We start from the raw sequence: 12,050 nt of genomic DNA, 5'->3' as shown, positions 1-12,050 counted from the left end.
ATTCTCAAAGAAGCAGGTCCATTTTACAGGCTTAGGGCCAGAGCCCAGACCATGACAGGAAATAAATGCTATTCTTCAAGGCCCCCTACAGAGGGCCTGCCAATCCCATTTTTTAATGACAATAAACTGATAATATCAATTTCTACAAACCATGCGTTTTACTTCCTTTTTTGTTAATTCCAAGGTATAGACTGGAAGATATTATCTCCTATAATGACCTAGCTTACAATTCTATCCTTCAAATAGTTATTTTAAAACATTATCTGTTCTATTTGGTGATAAATAACACTCAAACCATAATCATGAATGTAGTTGCCAATTGATTAGAAGGACTTTAATGTCAATAAGGGGATTATTTTTAAAATTATCAAATCAGAATATTGTTATTATATTTTAAACTGCTAATGCCTAGATTTCATTCTGGCCAGAATAATTTACTTAAGAAATTTGGATAAAACCAGACATTAGTAATCCATTTGCTTCATGTAGTTTTCTTTTGTTTCATCTTGTTTGAGATGGAAAGTGGAAACAGAGAATGTGGAAGACTCAGTATTTTATCTCGTAATAATGATCCACAAAATTGAACAGCATAGCAATTCAGACACCAGAAATCCACACAATAGAATAGCATAGAAACTCAGACACCAGAAATCAGAGACGTACACTTAAGAGATTAAACTAAGAGATTTATAAAATAATATCACCTATAAAACATAAAGCAAATGTGTTCAAAATTCTCTACTAGAAACCAAAATTGCAGTGAAGGCATATATTACATATACAATATATAAAAATATATAAAATGTAAACATAATACAAAATCTAAAAATGCTTTTCTTATTATTTTTAACTCTTAAACTTACGCTGCACAAGCTTCCACTGTATTAGATCAGTTCAGTGTCAACTACCATGAAAAATATTGACTGCAGTGACTTACAAATATTGGTATATATAATAGCAATTTGAATTGGATCTCATAAATGCCGAACAGAAAAACTTCAGGAAAAATTCATAGTATAATTGATTGGAGGAATTTATGTTTAATGAGAGTGTCTTGTGTGGAAGCTCTATTCCTTTCGCCGCACATGTTCATGAGGCGACTTTTGATCAAGAAATGCCATTAGCTTCATTCTGTCCCTTCACTTCTTACTATAAGAGGGGCAGAGAATCGTCTGACTGGGAAGTTTAAGAAAATATACTGAACATGGACAGCTCAATTCCTTTTTCTCAGTTCAATTCTTTCTGTAAAGAAGATGAATTCAGGCCTGTTTTTGTCCCTGCCTCTGTGATAGAGGATTGTGAATGCCCAGCTCTGCCAGTGGCTAGGTAGGTATAATGTCTAATTTAGAGGTGAAGCCTGTTTTATCTGCATATATAATGCATGTCCTCCAATTCAGACTCTACTGAGGTAATAAAACAGTTATTTTGAACTCTATCTGCCTGGCACCTGTGTCTGTCTCTCAGAAATTTCCAAATTTTGGATGGGAAATTGCTTGATTTTATCAGAGTGGTCTGATAAAGTGGGGGTAGAAATCTATATAGATTTTGTACTGTAAGACCGTCTATTCGTATTCATTCATTGATTCAGTATTTACTGAACTTCTATGTGCCAGGTACCATTCAGGCCCAGGGATATGACAGAGAAGAAAAAAAAAAAAGCAGTATCTTAACCAATGCTAAGTACACACTGTACTAATGGTACATCAGTAAGGAGCTAGAAAGAGGAATACACCTGCATTTTCTTTATCATGGATTTCAGACTATAAACCGTAGTATTTCAATATATGGATTACAACAAAAAAATTATAGGCTTACATAATCTTCAGATATGTAACCATTTTGAACTTAAAAAACAGAAATTTTCTTATGGTTGAACCTAGTAATCTGGCATACAGAAATATGCAAATTTTATTATCTTGAAACCATAAAAAATCATGTAAATACTGAAAAATCTGTAATAAATTTAACTTAATTAATGATTGCAAACAAATTTCAATGTAAAATGGGGATTGATGTGACAAAACCACTTCTGCAGATTAATTGGATCTTATCAGTTCTGGGTAATAACCATTTCCTTCCCCACGATAAAACAACAAAAGAAGTATTTGTGTTCTTTTAATACAATTGAGTATTAAAGATTAAATATCAAAAGTATCACTGATTTTCTTGTAATATAATTAATTATTAAGGATTCACATTAATAATAATACTTAGTCCTTATAAGGTGCCTCCTACATTTAAAATGCTTTACAAATATCAATTCTAAAAAATATTAATAGTGCAACTCAAGATGGATTATTTTAATATGTTTCAAATATAAACTATATCCAAAATGCTTTAAAAAGCTGAAAACCAGTAATTTTAAACAAATTCTCATAAATTGTCATCTAGCTTAGACCAAAAGAAATAGCACTTTTTATATTTCTGAAAGATTATCACTACTAGGATATCATCATAGAATAGATGGCATTTTCCCCACTGATGTGAGAGTTGTTTTGCTCCCTAGGAAACTAACAAAATGCTTAAAAATTGCATACTGAGCCCAGAGTTATGCAAAGTTTGGGAGTAAAGTAAGCAGAAGGAAAAGAATGGGTTTTGTCAGCAGGAGTAAGGGGGGAAGGCAGTGACTGAGCAACGACCCCAGCAGAGGTAGGGCCAACCTGCAGAGCTCTGTGGCCCTCCACACCAGCCTGAGGTACATCAGCCTATACCGTGTCTTGATTGTTACTGCATCTCAGTATATACAACATACTAGTTTATTACAGGCCTCTGAACTTCAGTAGCCATGGTAAAAAGGATATAAGATGATTTTCTTAAAGCAGTAAGAATCTGTATAAAATATTACACAGTTACTTCTTTGGTTTTAATCTCTAAAATCTCAGTTGCAGATAGGCTTTGGTTTGCCAAATTCATGACCCTAAGAAGTCTAAATGAAAAAAGTCTTGTAAATTCTACTTTTGCTGTTTAAGTCATAATTTTAGGGATAAAAATGTGTCCACTTGTGTGCTGTATAGTAGGACTGTGAGCTCTTGATCAAATTGCTTGGTTTTATACTCTGCCCCTGAGAGTGACCTTAAGGTAGTCATCTAATCTCTCTGTGCCTAAGTAAAATGGGAATAAGAATAGTGATATCATGAAGAGTAAGTGAACAACAAACTAAATACAAAGACTGAAATCTCACATGGAGCAAACATTCAAAATGTATAAAATGTGGTCACTACAGAAAAATCTTGAAGATGAGACTGATAACATTTCAGAAGAAAAATTACAGTTTAATAAATAAGTGTATCCTACAGAAATTTGTGGTAGTATCCTATGCTCTCACTTTCCTTTCCACAAAATTAACTCAGAAGATTTAAAAGCATATTTTCTCCTATAGTCTTCTTTACTTAGGTGAGCATATCTTTACTAAATCTGTTGCAAGTTCAGAGCTCTGGTGTGGTTCAAATCCCTGCTTCTTTGCGTATCAACATTTGCTAAGTTAACAGATTTTCCCTAAAGCCAATTCTTATTAATTGTTATAACAATGATTAACTTAAAATATTTTTATACTATTATATGTAGTTTTCATCATAGCATTCAAATCAAGCTTGAGTCTAAATAAATAAAATGGCTTAGGTAACTAAGAGTTGGGTCATATTGAAGAGTCAACTGAGGATAAACTCAGAAGTAATACTTAGTTTTTAAAATGACAAATTCAAATTGCTATAAACATTAATATAGTTTTTAAAGATATATAAGATATGAAGCTGTGAGATAAAATTTAGCCCATGGGAATACATTAATTATATATGTTTACAAATTATGTAGGTCAAATAAGAATCAAGATTATGTCAACTGACATTACTAAGTTATTGTGAATATTATTTAAGTAAACAAACTTTATATCTGTTGATACTCTTCAGATGCTTACAAACTGAAATGTTTTCTATTTATGAATTTTAAATTCTCCAAAATGTACAGTTATTGTTTTAAAACCAGTAAAGACAATATTTGAAATGGAGAGCAAATGATCCTGGTGCAGCCTCCAGATGCACAAAGCTTACAGACCTACTCAACCAGAAAAACATATTTCTTCCTGTAACACTCCTAGTATGAGGCAATTTCTAGAAATACCTATGTAAATAAGATGAGTTAATAAGCAGTTCTGAAATAAGATTTTATAGTATAGATCCAGAAAACAATGGGATAGTGTATGTAACAAATACCACTAACAGAGAAATCTAAAATTCCTGACTGCCTTTAAAAAAAATTCTATCCAGTTTAGTAACACTGGAATACTGACCATAAAGGTCTTCTGTAAGTCAAATTCAGCAACCATTTATCAAGGGCTTACCATGTACATGACACTGCTTCAGCACTTAAAGGAAGCAAAAGCAAACAAGACTTCACTTTCTCACATATATTGTGACTGGAGCAGATGCCAAAGCTGGCACCAAGAAAGCCCATTTACTTCCACAGCCTTTTCCAGCTCAAATGTTTTCCAGTCTCCCGGCAATATTCATTTACAGGATGTTGTTGTTGTTTTTCTCAGAAAAAGACTTTCCCCACCCTTGTTTTTCTGTCTTATTCTATTCTTAATTTATGCCATCTTGTGTTTTATGTATTCTAAGTTGCCTTAAGACTATTCTAGAAAGAGGCAGGGTAAAAAACAACTACAGAAAAAACAAAAATACTTGGAAGAGGAAAGACAAAATATATCGGAACACACTTGAAAGTTGAATTTTAAATGTCAAACTCCTTGTTTTTTTTTTTCTTTTTCAGCATGTCTATTGGCCTTCAGGTCAAAATATCTAGATTTTCATGCTACCTCAATGGAAAAATGAAATTTTAGGTATGATTCTGATTCTCACAAAGCCAGTTTTTTCATCTGTGAGGGTAAAAAACCACCAATTCACAAGATTTTGTTTGCAAATTAAAGAATAGTTGGCATATAAGAGGTGTTCAACAAAAGTGAATTTTATTTCTTTCCTTTACAAACTCATTAGCTATCTTGTTACTAATATTGAAATAAAATGTCAGTTCAATAATATGGCATGCCTTCTTAGCAGAAACACAGCAGACGTGAAAGCAGAACACACACAAAACACTTAAGATAGGAAAACAATATAAAAATAAAGTTGATTTTAAGATCCTGTCTGCACTAATCTCCAATACTTTGCAGAAGGAAACAAAGAATATATATATATATTTTATTTTATTTTATTTTATTTTATTTTATTTTATTTTATTTTATTTATTTTTGAAACTGAGTTTCGCTCCAGTCGCCCAGGCTGGAGATGACACGATCTCAGCTCACTGCAACCCCCGCCTCCTGGGTTCAAGTGATTCTCCTGCCTCAGCCTCCCGAGTAGCTGGGATTACAGACACCCACCACTACGTCCAGCTAATTTTTGTATTTTTAGTAGAGAAGAGGTTTTGCCATGTTGGCAAGGCTGGTCTCGAACTCCTGACCTCAGGTGATCTGCCCTCCCTGGCCTCCCAAAGTGCTGGGATTACAGGCGTGAGCCATCGTGCCCGGCAGAAACAAATTATATTTTTAAAGAAGAAATGGGTCCAGTTCTTCCTCTCTTAGGTACACATGACTCCCGGACAGTGCATATGAAATCACAGTATAAACATTTTCCCTAAAGCCACTTTTGATTAATTTTTCTAACACTGATTAACTTTTAAAAATTTAGAAGAAATAGAAGACAACCAGAAGCAGCTGCAGTCCACAGCACTCACAAAGAGGAATGTGAACGGGGCAAGTGAATTCAGCACCTTCGACTGAAATATCCAAGTTCTCCCATTGGGACTGACTAGGCAAACAGCTCAACCCAGGGGTGACAGCCCATCCAGGAGCGGAACAGAGCCAAAGGAACCCCCACCCTCAGCCAAGGAAAGTGGTGACTGTGTGATCCTACCCGGGAAACCAGCTTTTCCCGTGGATCTTTGCAACCCGCACATCAGGAGATCCCCTTGTGAGCCCACACCACCAGGGACTTGGGTCTGATACACAGAGCTGTGTGGATTCTCAGCAGGGTAGCTGCTCAGGTACACAGAGACCCAGGAGTTTTACATACTCTGGCCCCGGGATCCCTGGTAAGGCAGGAAACCTGCCCATACATATCTTTAGGAAGGGGGCTGAATACAGGGAGCCAAGCAGCGTTGTTCTGTGGACCCCAATTCCACGGCACCTCGTAAGTTAAGACCCACTGGCCTGAAATTCCAACCAGCCAACAGCAGCAAGCTGGAATCTGCCTGAGGCGGGTCCGAGTTCCCAGAGGGAGGAGTGGCCATCATCTCTGCGTTTAGGTAGACTCAGCCGCTCCAGCCTGCTGGCTTTGGAAAATTCAAAGGGTCTGGAGAAGGAAGGGACCCCACAATGCAGCACAACTGTTTTGCCAGAACGTGGCCAGACTGCTTCTTTAAGTGGGACCCCGATCGATTTCCTCCTCACTGGATGGGATCTCGCTGCTGCAGCCACTCCAGAAGGGTCCTACAGATAGAGCTTATCCCTCCCTGGGATGAAGCTCCCATGGAGAGTGGCAGCCGCCATTTCTGCAGTTTGGTTAACTCAGACATTCTAGCCTGCTGGCTTTGGAGAATACAAACAGACCAGATGAGGAAGGGTTTCCCCCAACGCAGCACACCTCCTCTACCAAAAAGCAGCCAGACTGCTTCTTTAAACAGGTCCCTGATCCCATTCCTCCTGACTGGGTGAGACCTCCGAACAGGGGTCTCCAGCCACCTCCTACAGTTGTATTCAGGCAGGTAACAAGTCAGTACTTCCCTGGGACATACAGCTTCCAGGGCAAAAATTTGGCTGCCATCTTTCCTGTTTCGCAGCCATCACTGGTAATACCTCCAGGTAAAGGAAAAACTGAGGCAACTGGGGTCTGGAGCAAACCCCCAGCAAACTGCAGCAGCCCTATGGTAGAGTGACCTGACTGTTAAAAGAAAATCAGGCATAAAACAAGAAGACCAACAACAAAAAAGACTTCAAGACCCCATTCAAAAACCCCATCTTTGAAGTCAGCAACCTCAAACATCAAAGGTAGATAAGCCCACAAAGATGAGAAAGAATCGATGCAAAAACACTTAAAACTCAAAAGCCAGAGTGCCTGTTCTCCTCCAAATGACCATAACACCTCTCCAGCAGGGGGCACAGAAGTGGGCTAAGGCTAAGATGGATGAATTGACAGAAGTAGGCTTGCTAAGGTGGCTAATAACAAACTTTACTGAGCAAAAGAAGCATGTTGTAACACAATGCAAAGAAGCTAAGAATCATGATAAAACAATACAGCAGCCAACAGCCAAAATAGCCAGTATGGAGAAGAACATAACTGACCTGATGGAGCTGAAAAACACAAGATGAGAACTTCATAATGCAATCACAAGTATCAACAGCAGAACAGACAGCAGAGGAAAGAATCTCAGAGCTTGTAAACTCTTTCTGAAATAAGACAGGCACACACTAGAGAAAAAAGAATGAAAAGGAGTGAACAAAACCTCTGAGAACTATGGGATTATGTAAAGAGAGTGATTGCGGTACCTGAAAGAGACAGGGAGAATGAAACAAAGTTGAAAAACATACTTCAGGATGCCATCAAGGAGAACTTCCCCAACCTAACAAGACAGGCCAACATTGAATTCAGGAAATGCAGAGAACCCCAGTAAGACACTCCATGAGAAAATCAACCCCAAGACACATAAGCATCAGATTCTCCAAGATCAAAAGGAAAGAAAAAATGTTACGGGCAGCCAGAAAGAAAGACCAGGTGACCTACAAAGGTAAGCCCATCAGACTAAAAGTGGACCTTTCAATAGAAACCCTACAAGCTAGCAGACATTAGGGGCCAATATTCAACATTCTTAAAGAAAAGGATTTCCAATCCAGAATTTCATATCCAGCCAAACTAAGCTTCCTAGCAAAAGAGAAATAAGCTCCTGTATTAGTTCATTCTCATGCTGCTAATAACGACATACCCAAGACTGAGTAATTTATAAAGAAGAGGTTTAATTGACTCACAGTTCAGCATGGCTGGAGAGGCCGCAGGAAACTTACAATCATGGTGGAAGGGGAAGCAAACATGTCCTTCTTCACATGGGAGCAGCAAGGAGAAGAATGAATGTCCAGCAAAGGAGGGACCCCCTTATAAGCCATTAGATCTCATGAGAACTCACTGACTATCATGAAAACAGGATGGGAGAAACCATGCCATGATTCAATTATCTCCATCTGATCGCTCCAACACCTGGGGATTATGGGAACTACAATTCAAGATGATATTTGAGTGAGAACACAGCCAAACCATATCATTCCACTTCAGCCCCTCCCAAATTTCCTCTACTCACAAATCAAAACACAATCATGCCCTTTGTATTAGTCTGTTTTCACACTACTGATGAAGACATACCTGAGATGGGGAATATACAAAAGAAAGAGGTTTAATGGACTCAGTTCCACGTGGCTGGGGAGGCCTCACAATCATGGCAGGAGGCAAAGAGGAGCAAGTCATGTCTTACATGGATGGCATCAGGCAAAGAGAGAGAGAGCTTGTGGAGGAAAACTCCTCCTTATAAAGCCACCAGATCTCATGAGACTTATTCACTATCATGAGACCAGCATGGGGAAGACTGACCCCATGATTCAATTACCTCCCACCAGGTCCCTCCCACAACACATTGGAATTGTGGGAGCTAAAATTCAAGATGAGATTTGAGTGGGGACACAGCCAAACCATGTTATTCCACTCCTGGCCCCTCCCAAATCTCATATCCTCACATTTCAAAACCAAGTATGCCTTCCCACCAGTCCCCCAAAGTCTTAACTCATTTCAGCATTAACTCAGAAGTCCACAGTCCAACATCTCATGTGAGACAAGGCAAGTCCCTTCCCCCTATAAGCCTGTAAAATAAAAAGCAAGTTAGTTACTTCCCAGATACAATGGGGGTACACGCATTGGGTAAATACAGCTGTTCCAAATGGAAGAAATTGGCCAAAACAAAGGGGATACAGGCCCCATGCAAGTCCAAAATCCAGTAGGGCAGTCAAATCTGAAAGCTCCAAAATGATCTCCTTTGACTCCAGGTCGCACATCCAGGTCATACTGATGAAAGCGGTGGGTTCCCATGGTCTTGGACAGCTCTTCCCCTGTTGCTTTGCAGGGTACAGCCTCTCTCCCAGTTGCTTTCATGGGCTGGTGTTGAGTGTCTGTGGTAGCTTTTCCAGGTACACAGTGAAAGGTGTCAGTGGATCTACCATTCTAGGGTCTGGAGGACAGTGGCCCTCTTCTCCCAGGTCCACTAGGTGGTGACCAAGTAGGAACTCTGTGTGGGGACTCTCACACATGTTGTCCAGGCTGGTCTTGAACTCCTAAGATCAAGCAGCCCGCCTGCCTTGGTTTCCCAAAATGCTGGGATTATAGGCGTGAGCCACCATATCTGGCCTTTTCAGTTATTTTTAATCATGGCATTCAAATAAAGCTTGAGTCAAAATAAGTAATATGCCTCAAGCCACTAAGAGTTAGGTCCTATTGTAGAGTAATCTGAAGACAAATTCAAAAAACTGTTTAGTTTCTAAAATGGCAAATTCAAATTGCTATAAACCTTAACATACTTTTTAAAGCTTTCTAAAAAAGATTTGAGGCTAGGAAATAAAATTCAATTTGTGGGAAGAAATTAATTAATTAGTTAATTAATATGTGTTTACAAATTAAGTAGGTCCAATAGGAACGTAGATGATGTCAACAGGCATTACTAAATTATTGTGAATATTATTCAAGTAAGAATTTGCCTTATATCTTTTTATGTTCTTCAGATGCTTACAAGCTAAATGTTTTATACTGTATTTATGAAATGAAAATAAAAAGCATAATGAAATATCACTTCATACCCACTTAGGATAGCTAAAATCTCCTTACAGTGATGGTGGGATTTTAAAATGGTACAGAGACTTTGAAAACAGTTTGGCCATTTCTCAAAATGTTACACATAAAATTATATGACTCCTAAGTTTTTATCTAACAGAACTGAAAACATGTCCACATGAAAACATGAATGCTCAGAGCAGCATTATTCATAAGCCAAAAAGTGGAAACAACCTAAATGTCCATCAACTACCGAATGGATAAATAAAAACTAGCATACCCAAACAACAGAATATTATTTGGCCAGAAAAAGGAATGAAGTACTGATACATGCTGCAATATGGGTAAACCTTGAAAACATTATGCTAAGTGAAATAAGCCTTATATAAAAGGCACAACACTGTATTACTCAATTTATATGAAATGTCCAGAATAAGAACATCTATAGAAACAGAAAGAATAAGGTTACCAGGGACTACAGAGTAGGGGGAGGTAGTGAGAGACTGCTAATGAGAATGAGGTTTCTTTCTGAGGTGATGAGAATGTCCTACGATTTGATAATGCTGACAGTTGCATAAATCTCTGAATATAGTAAAATAACACTGAGTCATACACTTTAAAATGGTGAATTTTATGCTAAGTGAATTATGTTTTAATAAAGCTGTAATATTAAAAATAAGTCAAACAGGTAGGTCATGTAAGATAGCTCAAAACCTTCATTTAGTAACAAATAATGAAACTTATCAAAGATCTATTCTAGAAAGAGGTATAAAGTGGGAAAATGACTCATGGAGCTTTCATTCCAACAGAGGAAGAGAGGAAATATAGAAACAATTAAATAAGCAAGATAATTACAGTTTGTAATAAGATCATGAAGGAAAATACAGTGACATGACAGATGAAGACTACTGGAGGTCTGCATAAAATGGAATTGTCGTGGAAGGCCTCTATGGGGATTTGATCTAAATAATAAGAAGAAAGCAGTCACAGAGAAAGTGAGGAGGTGTGCTTGCCTGGCTGAGGACTCAGGATGTGCAAATGCCCTCAACCAGGAGATAACCTGGCATGTTTGAGAAACTGACAGGAGGTCAACAGGTCAGAAACATAATATGTGAGGTGAAAAGTAGCAAAAATAATGTTGCAGACATAGATAAGAGTTAGGTCAAGCAGAGACTAGTGACCACAGTAATGAATTTGGATTTTCTTTCTTTCAGTTGAAAGCCACTGGAAGTTTTTAGGCAGGGTATTGAGACTATCTGGTTTACATTTCACAGCTTGCTTTGTCTGTCCTGGGGAGACTTGACTAGATGAGGGCAAGGATGGAAATAGAAAGAGCAAAGATGTGTCTCTAATTGTAGTCCTGGAAAGACGGGTGGTTTGGACCAGGACTGGGATAGCCTTTTTATGGTACTTTAGGTTCTAATCTATTCTCAAACTCTTGGAGTCAAGCGATCCACCCACCTTGGCCTCCCAAACTGCCAGGATGACATATGCATGCCACCAAGCTTGGCCATGGGTTCTAACTATTCTAAGTGTAGTGGATGCTGTGATATGTTGCCCAAACACACTTCTGGGATGAAGGACTTATCTTTCCAGCTACTAAGTTGAAGAGAGACTTTCTAGAATAGCCTTCATCCAATGATCAATGCAGAAGTATAAAGGTCTGAACTCTTGCATGAATAAGGGAGAACTTGAAGAGCCACTTTGCTTCAGAGCTCCCATGAGGTCTGTGAGGCCTCCATTGAAACTACATCCCTCTCCCCAATTCTGCTTTCTTTCTTTCCCTTCCAAAGGTTTGATCTCAAAAATGGTCCCCTAATAATTATATACTGAATGCTAATCTCCATCTCATAATATGCTTCCCAGAGAATTCAATATATGACCTGACTTACTAAAACTGAGTACACAGTCCTTGGGGTTACTTTCTAAAGATGATCAAACCAAAAATATTAAAAACTTGAAATAATAATATGCCTATTTCAAAAATCCTTACCAATGTAGTGATACTCATGAAGCTGTTGTAAAGATTGGAAAATGAATCATTTACTCCACACGGTCATCTGATTCTTACCAACTTGCTTTATACTTGCTTTTCAAATATACTCTTTTAGTCCAGAAAATTTGTGTATTTGGAAACACTGGGCTAAAGGATCTTCCTTTTTTGTTTCTTTTGTTGAGCGCAATGTGTGAGGCTGC

At 38.0% G+C, this 12,050-nt stretch overlaps 1 protein-coding gene across 1 annotated transcript in view, besides 1 other annotated feature; it reads right to left on the bottom strand.

Annotated features, from left to right (window-relative positions):
* The window catches only part of FOXP2 (forkhead box P2), a 607,439-nt gene that overhangs the window by 476,452 nt on the left and 118,937 nt on the right, over positions 1 to 12,050 (bottom strand). The gene's annotated exons all lie outside the window — the stretch shown is intronic.
* Positions 9,005 to 9,106: a silencer, noted in NCBI's record as "fragment chr7:113848263-113848364 (GRCh37/hg19 assembly coordinates)". NCBI's record gives its function as "represses an EF-1alpha promoter that drives an FKBP-Casp9 reporter gene in an ReSE screen in phorbol 12-myristate 13-acetate-treated (for megakaryocytic differentiation) K562 erythroleukemia cells {active_cell/tissue: K562(+PMA)}" and the evidence as "EXISTENCE:reporter gene assay evidence [ECO:0000049][PMID:32094911]".

Source organism: Homo sapiens, chromosome 7, assembly GCF_000001405.40.
Source record: "Homo sapiens chromosome 7, GRCh38.p14 Primary Assembly".
Lineage (NCBI taxonomy): Eukaryota > Metazoa > Chordata > Mammalia > Primates > Hominidae > Homo > Homo sapiens.
The sequence above is the reverse complement of the archived record's forward strand: the minus strand, read 5'-3'. Positions and strand labels throughout refer to the sequence as shown.